General features: G+C 44.6%; 1 protein-coding gene across 9 annotated transcripts in view, besides 4 other annotated features; it reads left to right on the top strand.

The window, feature by feature from the left end:
• Window positions 852–2,051: an enhancer, noted in NCBI's record as "BRD4-independent group 4 enhancer chr1:235323819-235325018 (GRCh37/hg19 assembly coordinates)". NCBI's record gives its function as "activates an origin of replication core promoter dependent on BRD2, P300/CBP, MED14 and CDK7 cofactors, and independent of BRD4, by STARR-seq in HCT116 cells {active_cell/tissue: HCT116}" and the evidence as "EXISTENCE:reporter gene assay evidence [ECO:0000049][PMID:35650434]".
• Window positions 971–1,150: an enhancer, noted in NCBI's record as "active region_2796". NCBI's record gives its function as "activates an Ori minimal core promoter by ATAC-STARR-seq in GM12878 lymphoblastoid cells {active_cell/tissue: GM12878}" and the evidence as "EXISTENCE:reporter gene assay evidence [ECO:0000049][PMID:35858748]".
• RBM34 (RNA binding motif protein 34) overlaps window positions 1,305–27,063 on the top strand; it is a 30,068-nt gene continuing 4,309 nt past the window's right edge. The window contains exons 1-10 of one of the 9 annotated variants that reach the window (NM_001346738.2): window positions 1,305–1,381; window positions 1,488–1,662; window positions 1,908–2,044; window positions 7,443–7,674; window positions 9,790–9,849; window positions 14,108–14,151; window positions 24,381–24,464; window positions 24,615–24,678; window positions 26,482–26,521; window positions 26,788–26,903. In NM_001346738.2, coding sequence (NP_001333667.1) covers window positions 1,329–1,381; window positions 1,488–1,662; window positions 1,908–2,044; window positions 7,443–7,674; window positions 9,790–9,849; window positions 14,108–14,151; window positions 24,381–24,464; window positions 24,615–24,678; window positions 26,482–26,521; window positions 26,788–26,903 — 1,005 coding nt within the window. In that variant the 5' untranslated portion in view covers window positions 1,305–1,328. The other 8 variants (NM_015014.4, NR_144491.2, NR_027762.3 and 5 more) reach the window with 8 other exon arrangements.
• Window positions 2,338–2,942: an enhancer, noted in NCBI's record as "H3K4me1 hESC enhancer chr1:235322928-235323532 (GRCh37/hg19 assembly coordinates)". NCBI's record gives its function as "activates a minimal SCP1, AML or CMV promoter by ChIP-STARR-seq in primed H9 embryonic stem cells {active_cell/tissue: H9 hESC(primed)}" and the evidence as "EXISTENCE:reporter gene assay evidence [ECO:0000049][PMID:30033119]".
• Window positions 14,934–14,993: an enhancer, noted in NCBI's record as "active region_2795". NCBI's record gives its function as "activates an Ori minimal core promoter by ATAC-STARR-seq in GM12878 lymphoblastoid cells {active_cell/tissue: GM12878}" and the evidence as "EXISTENCE:reporter gene assay evidence [ECO:0000049][PMID:35858748]".

Here is a 27,063-nt window from a genome sequence, read left to right as displayed (position 1 = left end):
GTCTGAAAGAAAATAAGAACAAAGTCAAATCCTATTTTGCCACTCAAACTATTGGATGATTTAACTAGTAATCTTTTATTACCCTGAGAGTCAATTTAACAAATATTCACTATGTACAGCTAATAGAGACACAGCATACATGATGAATAAAACATAATCCTTACTGTCTTGCCTTTACATCTAAAGAGACTGTAACTAACACTAAAGCAGACCAAAAATGATTATAGTAAGTACCATGGGGGCTTGGGAAAATATCCCTATTGTAAATAGCAAAGAATTTTTTTTTTTTTTTTTTTGAGCCAGGGTCTGCCGCTTAGGCTGGAGTGTAGTGATGCGATCACAGCTTACTGCAGCCTCGACCTTCCAGGGCTCAAGGGATCCTCTTGCCCGAGCCTCTCAAAGTGCTGGGACTACAGGCGCCGAGCGCGAAGGTGCCCGTCTAATTTCTTTTCTGTAGAGAATAAGTCTCGCTAGATCGACCAGGCTGGTTCAAACTCCTAGTCCTCACGCAATCCTCCCACTTCGGCCTCCAAATGTGTTAGGATTACAGGCGAGCCACCGCACCTGGCTGCAAAGAAATACTAAGTTAGACAGTATCTGAGGTAGGCCTTGAAGGATGGACATTATTTTGCAGAAGGGGAAAGAGGAGGGCAATTACAACAGAGGGGACAGGAATAACAACTGTAGAGGCAGTGGAGAAAGCAGGCTAGAATGTCAGGGGCTGGAGGGAGATGAGTCTGGGAAGACGGGCTGAGAACACCTTGAAGCGTTTTGAATGCCAAGTATCTACTTTTCCAGGTAGAATAGCAGGTCCGCATTACAATCTTTCGAATTGTATGTTGACGTGACTCGTTAGAGTTGTGGTTTTTATTTTGGAATAATGTCATGTTTCAGACAAGTTGCAAGAAGAGTACAAAGAATTCCTTTGTACTCTTCACAGCGATTAGCAAATTGTAAACACCCCACTGCGTTCACCCCTAACCGCATTTCTTGCCAAACCTCCCTCCCTCCTTTTCAACAAGTCAGTATTCTACGTGTTTCTCTCTCGGCTTGGGTGGACACCCCGCTCCTAGCCTGGCTGATTCTTCACACTGCAGGCTTCAACCACTCCCAGAAGACGTCCTTCACTCCCAAAATGAGGCTTTTCTGAAACGGCGAGGACCACCAACCGACGGCGACAAACCTGCTCCCTCACCCAGCGCCTCCCTTCGCCGCCGCCCGGCGGCCGACTGCCGGAGGGGAGGGGGCGTGGCCAGAGAGCGGAAGTGCCCGGAACCCGGAAGTGCGAGCTGGCGCGCAGCTGCAGTCTGGGAGTCTTTGGAGTAAGAATGGCCTTGGAAGGGATGAGCAAACGGAAGAGAAAGAGAAGTGTCCAGGAGGGGTGAGTGGCGCGCGGCACGAGTACCTGGGGAGGGATGTTGTACGTTCCCTCGTGCTGGCGAAGCGGTGGTGCGTGGCGTGGCTGAGTTTCTGTCGTCCATTTCTAGAGAGAATCCTGACGACGGCGTTCGCGGGAGTCCGCCGGAAGACTACAGGCTTGGACAGGTCGCCAGTAGCTTATTTCGCGGCGAACACCATTCCAGAGGTGGCACCGGTCGGCTGGCGTCCCTCTTCAGTTCTCTGGAGCCCCAGATTCAACCCGTGTACGTGCCTGTGCCTAAAGTAAGTCACTGGGCTTTCTTCCCGAATAGCTCGTTAGAACCACTTACATACAAAGCAATCTTCTTACCTACCGCGTGAAGCGTGATTTCTAAAGGGGGCAGACAGGATTCATTTTAAGTAACCTTTCATGACTCTTACATACCAGTGAGAGAGAAGAGATTCTCATTTAGAAAGACTGAATTATGGCTTAGGGTCAGAATTCTAGAAGTATGGGGTCTCAAATATAACTTCAAACTTTTAAAAAGCAAACCATCAAAAAAACGAAACGGAATGAGGAGGAAGAAAGTACATCCCAGATTGAAAGACCACTTTCGCAAGAACCTGCCAAAAAAGTGAAAGCGAAGAAGAAACACACTAACGCAGAAAAAAAGTTGGCAGACAGGTTGGTAAAATTCTCTTATTTGATGTTAAAGAAATTAGATGGTAAATTAACATTCCTATACTTGGAATATTCGTCAGTTTTATTTCATATTTCTACTTTCTTTCAAAACTTTTATTATGGAAAATCCAGTACATATAGAAAAGTTGAAAAGGCTAAGAAACCCCGTGTACTCAGCATCAGCAATTACTAATATTTGGCTAACCTTTTTGTATTTTTACCCCACTCATATACCCCCTCATTATTTGTTTTTGTTTGTTTTGAGATGGAGTCTTGATGCCACGCCCAGGCTGCAGTAGAGTGCAGTGATCTCAGCTCACTGCAACCTCCGCTTCCCAGGTTCAAGCGATTCTCCTGCCTCGGCCCTGAGTAGGTGGGACTACAGGCCTGCGTCACCATGCCCAGCTAATTTTTGTATTTTTAGTGGAGACAGGGTTTCACCATGTTGGCCAGGCAGGTCTGGAACTCCTGACCTCAAGCGATCTGCCCACCTCGGCCTCCGAAAGTGTTGAGATTACAGGTGTGAGCCACCTCGCCCAGCTACCACCTCATTATTTGGAAGCAAAATGAAAATTTATGTTTCATCTATAAATATTTCAGCATGTATATAAAAGAATTTGGTTTGCGTTTCTTTTTTTTTTTTTGAGACGGAGTTTTGCTCTTTTTGTCCAGACTGGAGTGCAGTGGCCTGATCTCAGCTCACTGCAACCTCCACCTCCCGGGTTTAAGTGATTTTTCCTGCCTCAGGCCTCCCGTGGAGCTGAGATTACAGGTGCCACCATGCCCGGTTAATTTTTTGTGTTTTTAGTAGAGACAGAGTTTCATCATGTTGGCCAGGTTGGTCTTGAACTCCTGACCTCAGGTGATCCACCCACCTCAGCCTCCTAAAGTGCAGGGATTATAGGCATGAGCCACTGCACCTGGCCTGGTTTGCTTTTTAAAAAAAAAATTTTTTTTTTTTTTTTTGAGCTGGAGTCTCACTCTGTCGCCAAGGCTGGAGTGCAGTGGCGCAATCTTGACTCACTGCAACCTCCGCCTCCTGGGTTCAAGTGATTCTTCTGCCTCAGCCTACTGAGCAGCTGGGACTATGGGCGCGCCATCACACCCAGCTGATTTTTGTATTCTTAGTAGAGACGGGGTGTCACCATATTGACCAGTCTGGTCTCGAACTCTTGACCTCATGATCCACTTGCCTCCGCCTCCCAAGGTGCTGGGATTACATACGTGAGCCATCACACCTGGCCGAGTTTGGTGTTCTTAAATTTATTCATTTCCCTCATTAACTTTTTTTTTTTTTTTTTGAGACAAGGTCTGGCTCTGTCACCCAGGTTGGAGTGCAGTGGTGCGATTGCGGCTCACTGCAATCTTTGCTTCCCAGACTCAATCCAGCCGCCCACCTCAGCCTCCTGTGTTGCTTAGACTATAGGCATGCCCCACCATGCCCAGCTAATTTTTGTATGTTTTGTAGAGACGGGATTTTGCCATGTTGCCCAGGCTGGTCGCAAACTGCTGGACTCAAGTGATCCAGTCAGCATTTTTTTTTTTTTTTTAGTAAAAAAATAGAAACAGGGTCTTGCTATGTTGCCCAGGCTAGTCCTGAACTCCTGGGCTCAAACCATCCTCCTACCTCCGTCTCCCCAAGTGCTAGGATTACAGGCATGACCCACCATGCCCGGCCAGCATAACGTTGTTTAACAGTGTATTTGAATCAAGATGCAAATAGTGATCCCATCACGTGTACCTAGCTAACAGTCTTCATTCCTCTCTTCTTTGCCACTCTCCTCAAGCCCCTTATTTCCTTTTCCCTTTTCTCATTTCAACTGAAGACCTTTGTACCAGTTCTGGAGCTGTTAATCACTGACAGTTGGGAACTGCTACTTTTTGTCCTATTTAAACTTAATGCATCTGTACACAGCCATATTTCTTCCCCTCTTTCTTAGAGCAGAGTGTCTTCCCTCTTGTCCAAGATTAACTCAACCACCTGGGTGCTGTGTGTACCACATATGTTCTGCCTTTTTAGGGACTGTGCCGTCAGATCCATCCACGTTCGCCTCTTTCCCTTATCCCTCGTTTTTTTTTGTTTTTTTTTTTTGTTTTGAGATGGCGTTTCACTGTTGTCGCCCAGGCTGGAGAGCAACAGTGCAATTTTTGCTCACTGCAACCTCCGCCTCTGGGTTCAAGCGATTCTCCTGCCTCAGCCTCCTGAGTAGCTGGGATTACAGGCGCCCACCACCACACCCAGCTAATTTTTGTATTTTTTTGGTAGAGATGGGGTTTCACCATGTTGGCCAGGCTGGCCTTGAACTCCTGACCTCAGGTGATCCACCCGCCTTGGCCTCCCAAAGTGCTGGGATTACAGGCGTGAGCCACCGCGCCTGGCCCTTATCCCTCTTTCTGCTAATATAGACGTGCTCACGATTCTAATCTTTAAAAAGGACATTCCCCCTAACCGCCAAAAAAAAAAACCCATGTAATTGCATGTCTCTGTTTGCTACCATTCCCACAGTCCTTCCCTTCAGTCTAGCTTTTAAGAAAAGTAGTCTGTTCTTGTACTCTCTCCCTTCTCTTGATCTGTTCACCCTTCCACGCACTTGGATTCTGGTGGTGGTGGGTTTTATTCTCCGTCCTGACTGTGCCACTGAAGCAGTGCCCACTGAGGCCACCCTGACCTCTCATATGTAATGGGCAGTGCAGCTTTTGTCTTATGAGTCCTCTGTTACCTTTCACGTGGCTGCTTTTCTTGTTGAAGCTACCGGATTCTCTGAGAGAAATCTCTTCTGATTGTCCTCTTGCCAATTCTTTCTTAGTGTTACTGTGGTATCTTTTCCTCTGACTACTCTTTAAATGTGCATTTCCCTCAGGGGTCTCATTCTTGGTCATGTTCTTGTGACCCTTTGTCACCCTTTGTTGGGGGCAGTATCTCTTGTGCCCACCGTGATCTCTCTCCTGATCTCCAGACATGTATGTTTGTTTGCCTCCTGGCATTTGCACCTCTTTATTCCATATGTACCACCAGGTAAGAATGCTCCACTGGGAGCTCATCATTCTCATCAGTCCTGTTCCTTGGCATGAGCGCTACCACTAGCCTTCTAGTTGCCTAAGTTAGTGGCCCGAGAGTCATCCTGTCTTCTTTCCTCTCCTTGCTTAGCTAATCAGTTGCCGAGTCCTGATGATGCTGTTTTTTAATTATCTCTTTAATCTGCCTTTTCGTCTTCACCTCCTTCCCTGCTCTGGTCAGTCTGGTCAGTCTTCTCAGATACACACTGTTGTAACCATCTCCTTACTGGTCTCCCTTCTCCAACCTTATCCTCTTTCTAATTATCTTCCACTCTTCTGCCCAGATGATCTTTTTTAGATGCTCTCAAAGTCTTCAGTGTCTCCTCATCTTCAGTAGGATAAAATCTAAGCACTTTCGTGTAACACTGAAGGTCTCTCCTGACCTGGTTCCCACCTTACTGTACTGTCTCGTTTCCTTTCACACCTGCTAGGTACTTTATATACTGTAGTGAGCAAAACACTAGACATGGACCCTGTCCTCAGGGGAGGAGTAATAGCAGTCAGCTTTTATTGGACTATGTGCCAGACACTGATTTCCTCCTCTGAGAAGCCTTTCTCGTTTATGTTTGCATACCATGTATTATAGCTGTTACCATTTTATTGTGAACTTGGTCTGTCTCTTCACTGCACTGTTGGAGGCCTTTGATTGTTTCTTTATCTTTGTATCCTCAGAGCCTAGAACTGAGTAGGAACCCGGTAAGTATTTGCTGATGAGTGAGTCATTTTTATGATTCTTATTAGCTCTTCTCTTCCCTCACTCCTTAATATCCTTTAGTTCTCCTTTCAGATTGATGCTCAGACCTTGCTTATCCATATCCAGCAATACTTTATATTGTATTTACCGTTTCACAATTTACTTTTGGTAAGAGTCCTTTAAATATTACAGAAGTATTAGAAGTAGGGAATCTGGTTTTTCCTATCAGCCATATTGCTTGTACAGAGTAAGTACTCTGCTGCCATATTAACCTTTTTAGACTCTCAGGGAGTGTGATAGTGCCCCTAAAGGTCTAGAGTAGAAAATGAAATCAGGCATTGATAGAGTGTAAACTAAATCTCCAAGAGCTTTAAGTGAATCAGCTTTTGTATAGATGAACTTGCTGCTGCTGTTGCATGGCAGATTTAACGTGTTCAAAAATTGAGCTTCACTTATTCTTGCCAGGTGCAGTGGTTCACGCCTGTAACCCTAGCACTTTGGGAGGCTGAGGTGGGCGAATGGCTTGAGCTTAGGAGTTCAAGACCAGCCTGGGCAACATAGCAAAACCCTGTCTCTACAAAAAAATATAAAAGGAGACTGGGCGCGGTGGCTCATGCCTGTAATCACAACACTTTGGGAGGCTGAGGCGGGCGGAGCAAGAGGTCAGGAGTTCGAGACCAGCCTGGCCAACACAGTGAAACCTCGTCTCTGCTAAAAAAAAAAAATTAGCTGGGCTTGGTGGCAGGTGCCTGTAATCCCAGCTACTTGGGAGGCTGAGGCAAAAGAATCGTTGTGAACCAGAGAGGCGGAGGTTGCAGTGAGCCGAGATTGCGCCACTATACTCCAGTCTGGGAGACAGAGCTAGACTCTGTCTCAAAAAAAAAAAGTATATATGTATATATATATATATATATATATATATATATATATATATATATATGTATATGTATGTATAAAAGACTGGACATGGTGGCTCACACCTTTAGTCCCAGCACTTTGGGAGGCCAAGGTGGGCAGATAACTTGAGGTCAGGAGTTCAAGACTAGCCTGGCCAACATGGTGAAACCCCGTCTTTACTAAAAATACAAAAATTAGCCTGGCATGATGGCAGCCACCTGTAATCCCAGCTACTTGGGAGGCTGTGGCAGGAAAATCGCTTGAACCCGAGAGGCAGAAGTTGCAGTGAGCCGAAATTGCACTATTGCACTCCAGCCTGGGTGACAGAGCAAAACTCCGTCTCAAAAAAAAAAAAAAAAAGCCACGTGTGGGGGCATGCGCCTGTGGTCCCAGTTACTTGGGAGGCTGAGGTGGGAGGATTGCCTGAGCCTGGGAGGTTGAGGCTGCAGTGAGCTGTGATTACGCTGCTACACTCCAGCCTGGGTGACAGAGCAAGACCCTGTCTCAAAGAAAAAAAAAAAGAGCTTAACTTTTTCTAAATCTTGAGTTAAATCATTTTTTTTCTAAAGATACTAGTCAGTTTCTAGATAGCGCTGCTCTAAAAATTTTGATATATTTGTGAGTAGTAAATCTAGGAAAATTCAGAAGACATTGGGAAATATTTCTAGTCGGGAGGGTAGGGCTGTGCTTTGTCAAATACTAGACCTAACTGGCATGACTCTTACTGCTTATTTTATTTTTTGCCTTAAAAAGGGAAAGCGCTCTAGCGAGTGCTGATTTAGAAGAAGAAATTCACCAGAAACAAGGGCAGAAAAGGAAAAATTCTCAACCTGGTGTTAAAGTAGCAGATAGAAAAATACTTGATGACACAGAAGACACAGTTGTCAGTCAAAGAAAGAAAATTCAAATCAACCAAGAAGAAGAGAGATTAAAGAATGAGAGAACTGTGTTTGTTGGGAATTTGCCTGTTACATGTAATAAGAAGGTGAGTTTGTATATGGTAAAAGTTCAGAGAAGTTAATAACTTTGTTCTTCCTGTGTTGAATAAGCATTCAATAGTAAGTCATGGATATAACTTCATTGTAAATTATTACATAAATCATCCTAATATGAATGGATTCCAGTATCCACCCCCTCCTTTTCATTCCTGTAGTCCCTGCCAATTCAGGCTTTTGCAGATTATATTTGAATATTGCAGTGACCTCCTGCCTGGTTTCTTTCTTTCAGCCTTGTCTCCTGTTATATGCCACTAGAAAGTAAGCTCCATATGTTTAAAGATGTCTTTCCTTTTTCTTTTCTTTTTCAGGACAGGTTCTCACTGTCACCTAGGCTGGAGTGTAGTGGCATGATCATTGCTCACTGCAGCCTCAAACTCCTGGACTCAAGTGATCTTACTGCCTCAGCCTCCTGAGTAGCTGGGACTACAGGCGCACGCCACCGTGCCTGGCTAATTTTTGTGTTTTTTTTTTTGTGACTATGTTGCCCAGGCTGGTCTCAAACTCCTGGGCTTAAGTGATCTGCCCTCCTTAGCCTCCCAAGGTGCTGGGACTTCAAGCATGAGCCACTGGGCCTGATCCTCTTTTTTCATCATTCTGTCTCTCTCTCTCTTTTTTTTTTTTTGAGACAGAGTCTCGCTCTGTTGCCCAGGCTGGAGTGCAGTGGCGCGATCTCTGTTCACTGCAAGCTCCGCCTCCTGGGTTCACACCCTTCTCCTGCCTCAGCCTCCTGAGTAGCTGGGACTACAAGCGCCCGCCACCACGCCCAGCTAATTTTTTGTATTTTTAGTAGAGACGGGGTTTCACTGTGCTAGCCAGGATGGTCTCGATTTCCTGACCTTGTGATCCGTCCGCCTCGGCCTCCCAAAGTGCTGGGATTACAGGCATGAGCAACCGCACCCAGCCTCGTTCTGTCTCTTGACACCTGAAATGGTGCCTTGTGCATAGTAAATATGTGTTGTTTAAAGAATGAAGATGTCCTGAGTTTCTTCCGTTGTGTGACGATCACTGAAGCAAAACCTGCCCTTTGCTTCTGCATGTTCATGTGATAGTAACTGTTGCAATCCTTAGCTCGGTATCCTGCTCATATTTTGAAGGACAGTTTAAACTCTACTTGATTAAAAACAGTAGAAAAACCTTTTTGAGGCCAGGCGTGGTGGCCCACACCTGTAATCCCAGCACTCTGGAAGGCCAAGGCGGGCGGATCCCCTGAGGTCGGGAGTTCGAGACCAGCTTGGCCAACATGGTGAAACCGCTTCTCTACTAAAAGTCCCAAAAATTAGCTGGGTGTGGTGACACATGCCTGTAATCCCAGCTACTTTGAAGGCTAAGGCAGGAGAATTGCTTGAACCCAGGAGGGGGAGGTTGCAGAAGCCAAGATCGTGCCACCGCACTCCAGCCTGGGTGACAGTGAGTGAGACTCTGTCTCAAAAAAAAAAAAAAAAGTTTATTCCTGGTTTAAACCAATGTGAAAACATGAGAGAATCTATGGAAGTTATAAGTCTATCCTTAATTTACATGTGATAAAGGTTATAAAAGATTGAAAGAAAAGCATACATCCGATGGATACTAATAGGAGCTTGAATTGTGTTTTCTTTTTTTTTTTTTGAGACAGAGTCTCACAAGTTTCAGTAAAATTTTTTTGTTCATCCAACTGAATAGTCACCTACTTTCCTGAAATGTTCTTAAAAACTGGCAGTAGGCCGGGTGCGGTGGCTCATGCCTGTAATCCCAGCACTTGAAGAGGCTGATGTGGTTGCATCACCTGAGGTCAGGAGTTTGAGACCAGACTGGCCAACATGGCGAAACCCCGTCTCTACTAAAAATACGAAAATTAGCTGAGCATGGTGGCGGGCGCCTGTAATCCCAGCTACTTGGGAGGCTGAGGTATGAGAATCACTTGAAGCCGTGGGGGCGGAGGTTGCAGTGAGCTGAGATCACACCACTGCACTCCAGCCTGGGCGAAAGTGCAAGACTCTGTCTCAAAAAAAAAAAAAAAAGCCTGGCAGTAGAGGATTATCAGACAATTTTTCTTAATTCCTTTTTGTAGCACTTATTTGATGTTCTGAAGGTCAGCTAATGTGTATTTTTTTTTTTAATTTTAGAAGCTGAAGTCGTTTTTTAAAGAGTATGGACAAATAGAATCTGTACGATTTCGTTCTCTGGTATGTTTCATTCCCCCGTAAAATTACATAATATTAAAATTTATTGCATTTAAATCAGATGAACTTATTGCTGTTAGTGAGATGGTGAAGCACTTTAACCTTTTGAATCAATAGGTTCAAATTTAACCCAAGAAAAGAGTTGCTCTTACTATCTACTGCTGACTCTTGAACTTTTTAAATAATGTATTGAGTTTACTTAATAAAATGATACTCTTGCTATGAAAGCCTGCAATGTACTTTGGAGGGTGGATGGGTGACTTATTTACTGTGTCAGCAGAATAGACTGAAAAGTTAATACTGATTATCATTGCTGGAATCCTAGGCATTCTCTTCCTATGTCCCATCATACACATTAGTATGGGAGGTGGGTATGATTGCTGCAAACAGTCTTTGTTCTCTGAGCACAGACAGATAAAGAATTTATGTCAATTTAATATTAAAACTTTATAGAAGTGAGTTGGATTTTACCAGCTCAGCACTCTGAACCAGTTATAGCCACATTCTTTGGAGCAGGAAATAAGTATCATTTATATTTGGTTTTCCCATACATGATTTTTTTTTTTAACTGCATAGGCATAGTTAGTTGACGTACCATAGTGTACATTTTTGGGCACTATTACATAATTAATGTATATTAGAATATAGGAAATGTTTATTCTATTTTTTTTTTTGAGACAGAGTCTCGCTGTGTCTCACCCAGGCTGGAGTGCAGTGGTGCGATCTCAGCTCACTGCACCCTTCGCCTCCTGGGTTCAAGCAATTCTCATGCCTCAGCCTCCCAAGTAGCTGGGATTACAGGTGTGCGCTACCATGCCCGGCTAATTTTTGTATTTTTAGTCCGGACAGGGTTTCACCATGTTATCCAGACTGGTCTCAAACTCGTGACCTCAGGTGATTCGCCTGCCTCAGCCTCCCAAAGTGCTGGGATTACAGGTGTGAGTCACTGCACTTAGCCTTTTTCATGTTTCTAATTGCTCTTTCTCATGTGATTCTCTGGAATAGAGTTTCTCAACCTCCATACAGTTGACATTTTGGGCTGGATAATTCTTTGTTGTTGGAGGCTGCCCTTTGTATTATAGGATGTTTAGTAACATCCATGGTCTTTACCCACTAGATGCTGGTAGCACCTCCTGCACCTCAGTTTTCACAATGGAAAATATCTTCAGGAATTGCCAAATGTTAGAGGAGGCACAACTGCCCACTTCTATAGAAGTAGACGTTACCCAAAGCTTTGACAGTGCCCATAATTTCTGTCAGGGTATTTATTTCCCACTCTTATCACATATCTTTTGTCTGCCCTTCTGAGTTCCATTTCCCTGTATTAGACCTTTGGCTGATGCATTAGTGTGGGTGTCTTGCCAGACCCTGATTTCAATATATCTGCTTACTTCCATCCATTCTCACCCCAACCCTATGCTGCCTACTGATTTTTCTGTGGTATTTAGTGGCACCCAGGCTGCAGGTTTTGTGGTTGCCTTTGACTCTTCATTGGCTCACCCATGCTAGTGTTTGCCACTCCTGTCCGTTTTTCAACTGTGATTTCTTCCTAATATGAGTCATTCCTTTCTTTTTTCCTTGTCCTACCTAAGTTCTCATTACCTCCTGTCAGAATAGTCGCAGAGGCCTATTGTAGTTCCTTACCTTCAGTCTTCCTCTAATTTGTCCAACAAAACACTGTGAACTCAGTCTTCCTGAAGCTCTTCTTCCCGGAACCCTTACCTCTTTCCCTGCCTTGCATTAATGAAACGCCCTTCCCCCCATCCCCCCAGCCGCCACACACACACCCCTCACGGGGCCTGCTATTGCCTTCTCCCCTTTGGGGAGCCTACCTTGATTCTCCCCAGTCTCTAGGCTACCAGTGTGTCCCTGCTATGCATTTGACAGCACCCATCCCTCATTACAGTACTTAGTACACTCTACTGAAATTGTCGTTTGCCTCCTCCACCAGACTGTAAGCTGTGGTTACAAATACTCTGTCTTACTTCTTCTTGGGTTACCAGCACCTGTACATTGTGTTAATTATTCTGTCAGTGAAATACATCCTTAATTCTTAGCTTGGCAGTTCTCCAGTGTGGCCCTGCCTCTCCTGTGTTCCTCTACACGTGGGTTTTCTCACCTTTGTCCCTTTGCCAGTCCATTTGTTTTGCCTGGAATCCTTCCTTAAAGTACCATTTTTGCCTATGAAAGTATTTTTCAGTATGTGGCTAAAAATGTCCCTTCTTCAAAGCTTTTCCGATACTTTATATCATTAAGTGATATTTTTTCCTCTGCATTATTCCTGTACTTTATTGCCTTATGTTGTACTTATGTATTAATATCTTTAATGACAGGATGTAGGCCGGGTGCAGTGGTTGATGCCTGTAACCCAGCACTTTGGGAGGCCAAGGCAGATCACTTGAGTTCAGAAGTTCGAGACCAGCCTGGCCAACATGGCAAAACTACGTTTCTACTAAAAATACGAAAACTAGCTGGGCATGGTGGCGGGGGCCTGTAATCCCAGCTACTCGGGAGGCTGAGATGGGAGAATCGCTTGAACCTGAGAGGCGGAAGTTGCAGTGAGCCGAGATTGTGCCACTGCACTCCAGCCTGGGCGACAAAGCGAGATTCTGTCTCAAAAACAAACAAAATAAAACAAAACCAAACAAATAACGGGACGTAGACGCTGTACAGAAGGCACCCAATAAATGTGTTTTGATGATGTCATTCACATGTTGATTATTCATTTAGCCATTTCTGTGTCTTGTACTGTTTTTTTGAGGTTTGAGAGTTTGACTATGTTAGCAATTTTAGCAAGATAAACTGCAAACAGAAGAAATAGTTAAAATTTCATAGTTTTACTATGTAAACTATCAGGTTACTGAGAAAGAAAATAGGTTTTCCAGAAAAGATTTATAATAACTACCCTACATGGCATTTATGTTCTAGATTGTGAACTTGCAGGGTTGGTATCTTTTCACCTTGATCTTCTCAGTACCTGGTTGCATTTGGCATGTTGTCGACAGCTGTAGTTGTTGACGTGTATTTCTGCCTCTTCCATAAAGTTTTCCCTACCTGCCCCATCCACTCTTAAAGGAGGCTATATATGACTGGAAATAAAGTGAACCTGAATATAAAGGGGATTCCCTTACCTGCATGATGGACACCATGCATTTTTTTGGCTAATATATAAACTCTTAGAGATACAGGTGATATGTCTTTTTATATTATTCATCAGTTCAGTTAGACATATTTAAAAATTTATTAGAATACACGATAAAATGTTAATTTATAAACATTTCTTTTTCCTTAACATTTTTCCTTTTTTTTTTTTTTTTTTTGAGACGGAGTCTCGTTCTGTCGCCCAGGCTGGAGTGCAGTGGTGCCATCTGGGCTCACTGCAAGCTCCGCCTCCCGGGTTCACGCCATTCTCCTGCCTCAGCCTCCTGAGTAGCTGGGACTACAGGCGCCCGCCACCACGTCTGGCTAATTTTTTTGTATTTCTAGTAGAGATGGGGTTTCACCGTGTTAGCCAGGATGGTCTCAACCTCCTGACCTCGTGATCCGCCCGCCTTGGCCTCCCAAAGTGCTGGGATTACAGGTGTGAGCCACCGCGCCCGGCCTTTTCCTTACATTTTTCATGTGTCTTTCATCGTCGGTGTCTCTTCCTGGAGTCCTCCCTGTAGGAGTCATCTGATGCAATTTGAGAGCCCGGTATCTTAACTTCTGTCTGGGTTTTTGAGTCCCTGCCTGTTAAATCTGAGCATGATGGTTTCATTGGAAAAACTTATCCTAAGCCACGAGCTTCGTTTCATATAGCATTAAGATGATTGGCCAGCCGTGGTGGCTCATGTTTGTAATCCCAGCACTTTGGGAGGCCAAGGTGGGCGGATCACGAGGTCAGGAGATCGAGACCATCCTGGCTAACCTGATGAAACCGCATCTCTACTAAAAATACAAAAAATTAGCCGGGCGTGGTGGCGGGCGCCTGTAGTCCCAGCTACTCAGGAGGCTGAGGCAGGAGAATGTTGTGAACCCAGCAGGTGGAGCTTGCAATGAGCCGACATCATGCCACTGCACTCCAGCCTGGGTGACAGTGTGAGACTCCATCTCAACAGGAAAAAAAAAAAAAAATTAGGACAGTTGTTTCTGATTTGTTTATTTCCCTAGAATGTTTTTGATCACAGTGTACTGGAGTTAGATACTTAGACTTCACTTAAAATATTAATTTGAGGTAATACTTCAAATACTGTCTTTAATACTTTTTTTTTTCTCTTGAAAGATTCCAGCAGAGGGAACGCTATCCAAAAAGTTGGCAGCAATAAAGTAAGTTTATAATTAGAGAAAGGGAGTCACCTTAAACTTTCTTCCTTTTTGGCTAAAAAGTGAGACCATTTCTTAACAATTGCATAGATTTTATTAATATATTTGGATAATAGAGCATGATTGACTGTTTGCTTCTGTATTTGAGAGCCTTTAGATTTGTCACGTTTTTCTTTAAGCCATAATATAATTTACAGAGTCGTAGAAAATATTACTGGAAAATGAGCCATGAGAAATTTTAAGAATGTTTTTAGTGTTTGGAAGAGAGTGTAAAGCTTCATGCCTAAATTTTCTCATACAGATTACAAATGCCATATTTCCTGTGTTTTTCCAGAGAGAATTCATGTTTGCTTGTGCTGGTCACCTGGGTATACTGCCAGCCTGTGACCACTTGGCGTTCTCTGTTTGAGGGTTTTGGACCACACTGGTGGTGGCTTGTTACCAGTGCTCAGGGGATTTTTTTTGTTTCCCACTCAGTGTCAAGAATGAAACCTACAAGTCTCCTTGTTCGCCCTTCCATATGGAAGGCTTATTTTTCATTTACCTTCAGCTTTATGCCGGTTTCCTATTAGTCTCATATCTTGGGTGTTTTTCTCTCTTAATGGTATATGAAATGATGAAGTTTATAAGCAGATATTTCTTTATATTAGATAAAATATAATAATGTACTTTAGAAACATTTCTGGGAATCCTGTTCTATCAAGCTTTTGTATGGCAACAGTCCCTTTGGACATCTTGGTGACTTCATTTCAATATTGAGTCTTCATTTGGAGTTATTTGGCCGACCAGGTCTTCGCCGGTTTTTCCTCATAACCATCACAGTGCCAGGTGTATAGTTAAGAGTTGATAAATATATAGATTCCCACAGTGTTTGCTGAGGTAACCAAAGATGCAGATCCTCCTAGATACCAGGCATTGTTCAGTGCTGTGGTGACTAGAAACCTTAGTAAGATACAACCCTTCTTTTTGAGTCATACTTTTATTTCTGTATGAAGTTGAAACCCAGGAGCCTAAATTTGAACAGAAACAGAGGTTCTGACAGGTGTATGTACAAGTACTACTGAGGAGTTTAGTGGGATATGTTAGAAAATTGGAATTTTCACACCATACCGTCAGCTTCTCCTCCAGCCCCATCTCATTGTTTTTTTGTTTCTTTGTTTTGTTTTGTGTTTTTAACATACAAGCTCTTGCTCTGTCACCCAGGCTGGAGTGCAGTGGCAAGATCTTGGCTCACTGTAGCCTTAAACTTTTGGGCTCAAGTGATGCTTCCATCTCAGTGTCCCCAGTAGCTGGGACTACAGGTGTGCACACCACCCTGGCTAATTTATTTTATTTTATTGTAGACACAGAGTCTCATTATGTTTTTCAGGCTGGTCTTGAACCCCGGGCTTCAAGCAATCCTTCTGCCTCAGCCTTCTAAAGCAGTGGGATTATGAGCATGAGCCACTGCCTTTTTGTTGTTGTTTTTAATTTAAAATTTAATGATGGCTGGCTGTGGTGGCTCACACCTGTAATCCCAGCACTTTGGGAGGCCGAGGTAGGTGGATCACTTCAGGCCAGGAGTTTGAGACCAGCCTGGCCAACATGGCAAAACACTGTCCCTACTAAAAATAGAAAAATTAGCAGGGTGTGGTGGCACATGCCTGTAGTCCCAGCTACTTGGGAGGCTGAGGCAAGAGAATCGCTTGATCCCAGGAGATGAAGGTTGCAGTGAGCCCAGATCACGCCATTGCACTCCAGCCTTGGTGACAGAGCTAGACTCTGTCTCAAAATAAATAAATAAATAAAATTTAATTATACACCTTTTCTCTAGTCAGCCAATTCCCTACCCTAGGCAAGTGTTTTTAGTTTCTTATGTAAGCTTCTAGAGACATCTTAGCATTTAAAAACTGATACGCATAGATGTTCTTCTTCCCACATAAAACAGTTTAACTCACTGGTATTTAATATATGCACTACTCCACACCTTCCCTTTTTCTGCTTAGTACAACTTGGAGATCTGTTTATATTGGTGTGAAAGTGATTATTTTTATAGCATTTTTTAAAAATGCCCTTTTTCTTAGAGTATTCTCTAGGTGTGCCTTAATTTATTTTATCAAATCTCCCACTGATGGACATAAAGTTTTTTCCCAGTCTCATGACCATTACAAATAATGCTGAAGGCCGGGTGCAGTGGCTCACGCCTGTAATCTCAGCACCATTAGAGGCCAAGGTGGGCAGATCGCTTGAGCCCAGGACCTCCCTGGGCAAAATGGCAAAACCCCATCTCTACAAAAAATTAGCTGGGCATGATGCTGTGCACTGTAGTCCCAGCTGCTTGGGAATCAGACGAAGGAGCACCTGAGCTCAGGAAGTGGAGCTATGATTGCACCCCTGGCACTCCAGCCCGGGTGATAGAGTGAGACCCTGTCTTCCAAAAAAAAAAAAAAAAAAAAAAAAACCTGCTGTAATATTTTAGCTGGTCATGGAGGCACGTGTCTGTAGTCCCAGCTACTTGGGAAGCTGACGTGAGATGATCACTTGAGCCCAGGAGCTTGAGGCTTCAGTGAACTGTGATCACACCACTGCACTGTAGCCTGAGCGACAAGCAAGACCCGCTCTCTCAAAACAAAACAAATAATGTTGGAGTAAATGAGTGACCTTGTACTTAGGTAATTTTGTACATAAGCTAAACTTATCTGTAGGATAAACTTCTAGCAGTGGCATTGCTCAGTCAGAAGGGTATTTGCATTCACAATTTTGACTGCTGTCTCGTAGAGATTGCAACCTATTTATGTTCCCACATCTTTACCAACAGTAAAGTCTTTTACTTTACAAAAACAGTATGTTGGCCAGGGAAGATGGCTCATGCCTGCAATCCCAGCACTTTGGGATGCTGAGGTGGGTGGATTGCATGAGCCTAGGAGTTCGAGACCAGCCTGGGCAGCGTGGCGAGACCTCATCTCTACAAAGAAACAAAAAAATTAGCTGGGCAAGGTGGTGCACGCCTGTAGTCCAGCTACTCTGGGGGCTGAGGTGGGAGGATCACTTGAGCCCGGAGAATGGAGGCTGCAGTGAACCATGATTGCACCACTACGCTCCAGCCTGGATGACAGTGAGACCCTATCTCAAAAAAAAAAAAAAAAGTATGTTTTTGAGCTTTGTGGTTGTTGGAAACCTGAGTGTGGTATTTCTAATTTGAATTTCTCTTATGAGTGAGCATCTTGTCATGTAATTTAAGAGTCATTTGTGCTTTCTTTTATTTGAATTATTAGTCTTATTGATCTGTGGGATGTTCATGAAATCAGTCTTTTGTGACATGAATTATGAATATTTTTCTCTATTTGTCATTTGCTATTTGTTTATTTATTTAATTTATTTTTTGAGACGGAGTTTTGCTCTTGTTGCCCAGGCTGGAGTGCAATGGCGTGATCTCAGCTCACCGTAATCTCCGCCTCCCTGGTTCAAGTGATTCTCCTGCCTCAGCCTACTGAGTAGCTGGGATTACAGGCATGTGCGCTACACCTGGCTAATTTTGTATTTTTAGTAGAGACGGGGTTTCCCCATGTTGGTCAGGCTGGTCTCAAACTCATGACCTCAGGTGATCTGCCCCACCCTCGGCCTCCCAAAGTGCTGGGATTACAGGCATGAGCCACCGCGCTGGGCCTTATTTTATTTTTAAGAGATAGAGTGTTGCTTTGTTCTCCAGCAGAAGTGCAGTGACTCAGTCATAGTCCACTATAGCCTGGAATTCCTAGGCTCAAGTAATCATTCTGCCTCAGCCTCCCAAGTAGCTGGAACTACAGGTGCACACCACCACACCCTAGCTTGTTGGCTTTTTGACTTGGCTTATGGGAAATTTTGCCATGTAAAACTTTTTTCCTTTTTCTTATAGCCAAAATGTTTAAAACCTTTTTTTTTTTTTTTTAGTTTATTAAGGCTACTTCCAGTAAACTGCACATATTTGACATGTACAATTTTATAATTTTAACATATGTAGGCAATCTTGAAACCACTGCCATAGTCCAGATACCAAACACTTTATCATCTCGAGTTTCTTCTAACCCTCTGCAATATGTCCCTCCACCTCTGTCCTCAGGCAGCCATTCATTTGCTTTCTGTCTCTATGTGTTAGTTTGCTTTTTCCAGAATTTTATATAAGTAGAGTCATCATACAGGATATACTCTTGTCTAATTTGCTCAGCATAATGATTTTGAGGTTTGTTTTTTTGTGGGGGAGGGTTGGTGGAGGGGAACAGTGTCTTCTGCTGTTGCCCAGGCTGGAGTTCAGTGGCACGATAATGGCTCACGGCAGCCTTATCACCTGGGCTCAAGCAGTCCTTCTGCCTCAGCCTCCTAAATACCTGGGACTACAGGTGCTCGCCACCACACCCGGCTGATTTTTAAGTTTTTAGTAGAGCCAAGGTGTCACTAATGCCCAGACTGGTCCTGAACTCCTGAGCTCAAGTAGCCCTCCTGCCTTTGCCTCCCAAAGTGTTGCAATTACAGGCTTGAGCCACCGTGCCTGTCTGAGATTTGTTCTTATTATTGCAATGCATTGGTAATTAATTCGTTTTTATTGCTCAGTAGTATTCCCTTGTATGACAGTATTTGTTTATCCATTCACCTGTTTATTGTGTTGTGTTGTATTTATTGTGATGTATTGTACTGTATTGTACTGTATTGTATTGTGATGGAGTCTTGCTCTGTCGCTCAGGCTGGAGTGCAGTGGTACCATCTCGGCTAATTGCAACCTCTACCTCCCGGGTTCAAGTGATTTTCATGCCTCAGCCTCCCAAGCAGCTGGGATTACAGACACATACCACCATGCCCAGCTAATTTTTTCATACTTTTAGTAGAGATGGGGCTTTGCCATGTTGGCCAGGCTGGTCTAAAACTCCTGACCTCAGGTGATCCGCCCGCCTCAGACTGCCAAAGTGCTGGGATTATAGGCGTGAGCCATCGCACCCGGCCCCATTCACCAGTTTATGAACATTCAGGTTATTTCAGCCTTTGGCTATTATACATAAAACTGCTAAAAAAAATTTGGGTACGGATCATTTCTTTTGAGAAACTGCCTGGTCGGATTGCCAGATCTTACGGTATATTGTAACTTTCTAAGAAGCTGCAAAATTGTTTTCCAAAGTGTTTGTACCATTTTACATTCCTACCAGCTATCGATGAGAATGTCAGTTGCTTCACATCCTCACCAGCACTTGGCATTGTCATTTAATTTTAGACATTCTGAAGGTTTGTCAACCACAGTGACTAAAAATGTTAGGCATCTTATGTGCTTACTATTTGTATCTATTCTTTGGTGAAATGTTGGTACAAAAATTTTGCCCATTTTTTAGTGACTTTTAAATTATTTTTATATGGTTGTAAGGAGTTATTTATATATTCTAGATATAACACCTTTTCCTGCTATGTGTGTTTCAGATATTTTGCTCCAGTTTGTGGCTGGCTTTTTTAGAGGTGTCTTTTTTTTTTTTTTTTTTTTTGAGATGGATCCTTGCTCTGTCACCAGGCTGGAGTGCAGTGGTGCGATCCCAGCTCACTGCAACCTCCGCCTCCCGGGTTCAACTGATTCTCCTGCCTCAGCCTCTCAGGTAGCTGGGATTACAAGCGTGCGCCACCACACTCGGGTCATTTTTGTATTTTTAGTAGAGACGGGGTTTCACCATGTTGGCCAGGCTGGTTTCGAACTCCTGACCTCAGATGATCCACCCACCTCTGCCTCCCAAAGTGCTAGGGTTACAAGCATGAGCCACCACACACGCCCAGAGGTGTCTCTTAAAGATTGAAAGTTTTAAGTTTTATTGAAGATCTCATTTAGAGAGTGCTGTTGTTGGCCAGGCACAGTGGCTCACGCCTATAATCCATTACTTTGGGAGGTCAAGGTGGGCGGATCACCTGAGGTCAGGATTTTAAGACCAGCCTGGCCAACGTGGTGAAACCCCGTCTCTACTAAAAATACAAAAATTAGCCAGGAGTGGTGGCGTGCGCCTGTAATCCCAGCTATTCTGGAGGCTGAAGCAGGAGAATCACTTGAACATGGGAGTTAGAGGTTGCAGTGAGCCGAGATCATGCCATTGCACTCCAGCCTGGACTGCAAGAGAGAAACTCCGTCTCAAAATAAAAAAAGTGCTATTGCTTGTCAGTTGGCTTGGTAGTCTGGTGGGAGTGGGCGCAGCAGGGTCTCTGCTGTCTTGTCTTAGTGTTTCCGTGTCTCAGGAGTGCACCTGATCAGGGCTTTTTTCCCGGGGCAGCCAAGCTGTGCCAAATGCCTTGTACCTTTAGTGGGGATTATGCAGAGGATGTTTCCCACCTCTCCCCCGGTAGCTGGACTCCTCCCTTCCTCCGGCTGTAGGGGTCTTCTCTGTGCCCTGGAGTGACAGGGTTTGCTATCCCTCCCCTAGCAGCTTAGCCTTCTCCTCCATCAAGAGAATGTGTCCGGAATTGGTGGGTTCTTGGTCTCACTGACTTCAAGAATGAAGCCGCGGACCCTCGCGGTGAGTGTTACAGCTCTTAAGGTGGTGCGTCGGGAGTCTGTTCCTTCTGATGTTCGGATTTGTTCGGAGTTTCTTCCTTCTGGTGGGTTCGTGGTCTCACTGGCTCAGGAGTAAAGCTGCAGACCTTCGCAGTGAGTGTTACAGCTCTTAAGGCAGCGCGTCTGGAGTTGTTCGTTCCTCCCGGTGGCCTCGTGGTCTCGCTGGCTTCAGGAGTGAAGCTGCAGATCTTTGCGGTGAGTGTTACAGCTCATAAAAGCAGCGTGGACCCAAAGAGTGAGCAGTAGCAAGATTTATTGCAAAGAGTGAAAGGACAAAGCTTCCACAGTGTGGAAGGGGACCCGAGTGGCTTGCCACTGCTGGCTAGGGCAGCCTGCTTTTATTCTCTTATCTGGCCCCACCCACATCCTGCTGATTGGTAGAGCCGAGTGGTCTGTTTTGACAGGGTGCTGATTGGTGCATTTACAATCCCTGAGCTAGATACAAAGGTTCTCCATGTCCCCATCAGATTAGTTAGATACAGAGTATCGACACAAAGGTTCTCCAAGGCCCCACCAGAGCAGCTAGATACAGAGTATCGATTGGTGCACTCACAAACCCTGAGCTAAACACAGGGTGCTGATTGGTGTGTTTATAAACCTTGAGCTAGATACAGAGTGCCGATTGGTGTATTTACAACCCCTGAGCTAGACATAAAGGTTGTCCAAGGCCCCACCAGAGCAGCTAGATACAGAGTGTCGATTGGTGCACTCACAAACCTTGAGCTAAACACAGGGTGCCGATTGGTGTGTTTACAAACCTTGAGCTAGATACAGAGTGCCGATTGGTGTATTTACAATCCCTGAGCTAGACATAAAGGTTGTCCAAGGCCCCACCAGAGCAGCTAGATACTGAGTGTCGATTGGTGCACTCACAAACCTTGAGCTAAACACAGGGTGCCGATTGGTGTGTTTACAAACCTTGAGCTAGATACAGAGTGCTGATTGGTGTATTTACAATCCCTGAGCTAGACATAAAAGTTCTCCAAGGTCCCACCAGAGTAGCTAGATATAGAGTGTCGATTGGTGCATTCACAGACCCTGAGCTAGACACAGGGTGCTGATTGGTGTATTTACAATCCCTGAGCTAGACATAAAGGTTGTCCACATCCCCACCAGACTCGGGAGCCCAGCTGGCTTCACCCAGTGGATCCTGCACCGGGGCTGCAGGTGGAGCTGCCTGCCAATCCCATGCCGTGCGCCTGCACTCCCCAGCCCTTTGGTGGTCGATGGGACTGGGCGTCGTGGAGCAGGGGGTGGCGCTCCTCGGGGAGGCTCGGGCCGCACAGGAGCCCATGGAGGGGGTGGGAGGCTCAGGCATAGCGGGCTGCAGGTCCCGAACCCTGCCCTGCGGGAAGGCAGCTAAGGCCCGGTGAGAAATCGAGCGTAGCGCCAGTGGGTTGGCACTGCTGGGGGACCCAGTACATCCTCCGCAGCCACTGGCCCGGGTGCTAAGCCCCTCACTGCCCGGGGCCGGCAGGGCCTGCAGGGCCGGCCGGCTGCTCCGAGTGCGGGGCCCGCCAAGCCCACGCCCACCTGGAACTCCAGCTGGCCCGCAAGCGCCGCGCAGCCCTGGTTCCCACTCGCGCCTCTCCCTCCACACCTCCCTGCAAGCTGAGGGAGCCGGCTCCGGCCTTGGCCAGCCCAGAAACGGGCTCCCACAGCGCAGCGGTGGGCTGAAGGGCTCCTCAAGTGCCGTCAAAGTGGGAGCCCAGGCAGAGGAGGTGCGGAGAGCAAGCGAGGGCTCTGAGGACTGCCAGCACGCTGTCACCTCTCAAGAAGAATCCAGGTGGGGCTTTGTGCCTTTCCCACACTTTGGCCATTCCGTCCTCCAGGCCTGCAGCACCCATAGCTGCGATCTCAGCCTTTCCCAGGGAGTGGAGGTCAGTGGGGCAGATCCTGAGGATGGGCGCACACTCCTGCCTCGGCAGCTTCCAGGACTTCTGTTTCAGGCCCAGCCCACGCTGAGCTCTAGTGTTTTAGTGAGATCATGGCTGGAATCTTTCCTGCTTGTCTGGTGCCCAGCATTTTGCCCCTGTGCTCGGCCATCGTAGAGCCAGAAGAGCCAGTGCTTCCTCTGTCTCTCATTGGAGGAAGCAGGCCTGTCCTTAGCTTCTAGCTGCTGGCTTTCCCCAAGACTTCAGCTCTGTGATGGCTGCAACAAAAGTTATGATGCTGTGGGTTATCTGGTTTCTTCTTAACTGGTAAGAGCAGGAGTGATGCACTTTCTGGCTTTTTACATTCTAGGTGGAAGCGGAACTCCAGCATTTGTTCCTGGGGGTGCACTAGGATGTGTTGGATTTGGATGTTGTCGGCAGCTGTGTGTTGTGTGAAGAGCAGGGCTCTAGAGTCAGCTAGACTTGGTTTCAGTCCTAGGCCAGCCACTTGTTGCCATTTCATCGCAGTCACGTACCTCTTCCAGTCTCAGCTTCCTTATTCATAAAATCAGAAAAAAAACACCGTGTTGGAGATGTGAGATTAAATGAAATACATAAAATGTCTAGCTGAGTGTCTGGTATATATTAGGCATTCAGTAAATCACAGCTGGTTTAATCAATACAAAAGCATTAGTATAGTGTATTATTACAGAATGCCATCAGTCATGTCAGGCACTATTTTCCAGTTCCCTTCTTGATGATACTCATTTGTGTAGTAGCATTTTTCTTACTTCAAAACAGTAGGTTGATGTCTTCAGGGAAAGATCTGTGTTCATTACTAGGTCCTTTTTGCTAACTCCTCACATCCAAATTATATCACCATTTTGCAAACCTAGTGACTTAATGAGTTTAGGCATTTAGTAGCAGCAGCTGCAGTCATTGACAAAAGGGTAAAAACCAGTCATAACATGACTCCCTGGAAAGAACACAACACCCACCAGCAGTCGCGACAAAGGGGTCATGTCTGAGTCTGATCCATCCTTTTGATGCAGCTGCCAGTTTACAAGAAATATAGAGGACAAAGGTTTGTGTTAAACTACTTGATGAGCTTGCAGTCACAAAATCCAGGCTGTGGGGAATTCTGCAGGCCAAATAGTGAGAGATAAAGAGATACAGAGAAAACTCTGTAAATTAAACAAGATTCAAAAGACATATCAGGTCAAAAGTATAGACAAGACCAAAGTATGATGTCTAAGAATAGACACTTGGTTGATAAAACCACAAAGATGTGCAGGGAAGTAGTTCCTATAAAAATGGGAATGGTGGTTGCCTTTGGAGGGAAGGAGGGGCTGCAACGGGAAAGGGCCACAGAGAGGCTTCTGAGTGGGCTACAAGGCACGTTGAGCTGTTGTTAATTCACTCAGCTATACGTAGTTTGTGCACTCTTCTATATGGGTGTTTCACAGTAAAGAGGAAAACTCACGTCTTTCACAACTGTTTATATGTGTGTTAGATACGGACTGCAGCTAAGATGTCAGTTTTTAGTTCTTGTATGGTTCTCAGGGATTCATATACATGGTTCATCTGTTTTCTCATGGTTATGATTCCTAAGAAAGTATGGGTTGTGTCTCCACTAATATCTTTATAAGTTGTGTGTTATTTTTTGAGTTATTACTAAATATTTATTCAAAGAGATGAAATGTCCACCCAGGAATTCTTGTCATGTGTGTTAAGAGTTGAAAACAGCTAGATTTTTTTCTAGTGACTTTGAGGCTAAGAAATTTACCTTGTCTCTCTTTTCTTTCTTTCTTTTTTTTTTTTTGGTGTAGACGTAAAATTCATCCTGATCAGAAAAATATTAATGCCTATGTTGTGTTTAAGGAGGAGAGTGCTGCCACGCAAGCATTGAAAAGGTAATTTTATCCCTTAGGTTTGAACAGAATAATTGTCCTATAAGTATGTATGAGTACTTTTTTTATTCTTTGGTTTCACTTTAGCATAGATGTTTTAGTAATCGAGTGCTCATTTTTAACAACCATTTTCCCTTTGTATTTATAATACAGAAATGGGGCCCAGATTGCAGATGGATTTCGTATTAGAGTTGATCTCGCATCTGAGACCTCATCTGTAAGTAGTACTTGATTTGTTTAAAGAACGAGAGCTTTGTAGAGAGAAATGTTTCCTTCCAGGCTTTTCCTGGAAGGGGACTGGAATCAGCAATGTGAGGGAAGCGCAGAAGGAAACAGCCTATGTCCTCTGTGGTTACAGAGTTGATGGCAAGAGAGGCACAAGGACCGAGGTCAACATTCCCTTCAAAAACGTAGTCCTGGCTGGGCACAATGGCTCATGCCTGTAATCCTAACATTTTGGGAGGCCAAGGCGGGAGGATCACTTGAGCCCAGGAGTTAAGAGCAGCCTGAGCAATGTAGCAAGACCCTGCCTTTACAAAAAAAAAAAAAAAAATTAGTCAAGTGTGTGATGCATGCCGACAGTCCCAGCTACTCAGAAGGCTGAGGTGGGAGCACCACCTGAGCCCAGGAGTTTGAGGCTGCAGTGAGCTGTAGTCGTGCCACTGCATTCTAGCCTGGGCAACAGAGGGCGACCCTGTTTCTTAAAAAGAAACAAAAACATAGTCCTCTTCAAATAAGCATAATTAGGTCAGAAGGTACATTAGACATCATCTGGTCTAACACATTATAGACCGAGGTCTAGAAAGTTCAATTATTCATTAGACAGTTTTTAGTACACACTCTGTCAGAGATGCAGTTCTAAGACATAGTCTCAACTTCCTAGGAGCTGACAGTATATGTTAGGGTTGGAGTGACAGGTCATGTCACTGTTGTATAAGTACTATCATCAATGCACAGGATGATTTGTCAGCTCAGCATTGGGACACTTGACTTGGGGATATGCCAGGAAGAAGGGACAAGGCAAGTTTCCAGGGGAATAAATTTCATAATAGTCTTGAAAGATGAGGAGATAGACCTTACCCTGTGGAGAAGCGGGGGGAAAAAAGAAAGAAGAGAAGGCTTATGTAGACCAAAAGTGTTGTAAAGGCTGAGGGCCATGTCTGGGAGGAAAAACAGTATAAATGGTGAGGACAGAAACTAATTCACTCAGGAGATGGCAAGAGCTTGGTACAATTATTAGGTGGGTGAGGTATGTAAGAGTTGCTGTTGGACAAATAGGCAGAGGCCAAATCATGAAGACCTTGTCTACCGTGCTTCACACAGAGGAGTCTGGATTTTGTTCAGGAGCTATTCTAAAAATTTAAACTAAGAGTGACATGACCAGATTTGGACTTGACAAAGGTGCCTAGAAATGAATGAAGGACAGTTATAACAGTTCACCCACAGAAACATAGAGTGCATTTCTGTCGATATCAAAGGAACTTAGTGGAGAAATGACAACGACCTGGATGAAAGCCCTGGCTTGACTTGGGGACCCAGTACAGGGTCAACAAACTATGGCAGAGAGCCAAATCTACGTGCTGCTTTTTTTTTGTTAATGAAGTTTTCTTTTGACACACAGCGACATCCATTCATTTGTGTATTATCCAAGGGCTGTTCTCAAGGTATAATGGCAGAGTTGAGTAGTTGCAGCAGATTCCACATGGCCTGCCAAGCCTATAATATTTGCTATCTGGCCCTTTACAGAAAAAGTTGGCATGCTCCCAATATAGCAGTCCGTTCCTGATCCCTACCGTGTGTCAGTGCCAGCTGTGAACAAAAGGTCACTCCCCTCCTCTGGTACCCACACACAGTCCAGCAGGGAAGACAGAAGAAACAGAATCAAAGAACATGATGTGTGGTTAAATTAGAAGATGGGTGACCTGTCAGATATGGGGGGAAGGAGGGATAGGGAGGATTTTCGATGACTTCCATTTTCTGGTCTAGTGAGTGATTTTTATTAACTGTCTTTTTGTTTCAGAGAGACAAGAGATCGGTTTTTGTGGGGAATCTCCCTTATAGTAAGTTTGTTTAAACAAAGTACAGTTAATATTACTAAATAAATAACAAGGAAATAAGAACTGAGTAGTAACTTAATGTTTTGATTTAAGACTAATTTTAAAGCATGCAATGTGTTTGCCGTGGCAGCACATGTACTAAAAAGTGTGCAATATAATGGCTTATTTTCATGGGACCATGCTTAACTAGCTGTATTATTAAACAACTCCATGTTTCTGAGGGGCTCCCAACTCTTTACTTCCATTTTGATTGAATTTGTTTTCAGAAGTTGAAGAATCTGCCATTGAGAAGCACTTTCTGGACTGTGGAAGTATCATGGCCGTGAGGATTGTGAGAGACAAAATGACAGGCATCGGCAAAGGGTTTGGCTATGTGCTCTTTGAGGTATGGGAGACTAATGCATTGTCACTGTCCTTCGAAGTGCCCTGGGAGGCATTGACACTGTTGCATGTCATCATTGAGACATAACTTTCACTTCCATTCTCAAATTCCATCTTAAGAAAACTGGGCTAGGTGCAGTGACTCATGCCTGTAATCCCAGCAC

Source organism: Homo sapiens, chromosome 1, assembly GCF_000001405.40.
Source record: "Homo sapiens chromosome 1, GRCh38.p14 Primary Assembly".
Classification (NCBI taxonomy): Eukaryota; Metazoa; Chordata; class Mammalia; order Primates; family Hominidae; genus Homo; species Homo sapiens.
The sequence above is the reverse complement of the archived record's forward strand: the minus strand, read 5'-3'. Positions and strand labels throughout refer to the sequence as shown.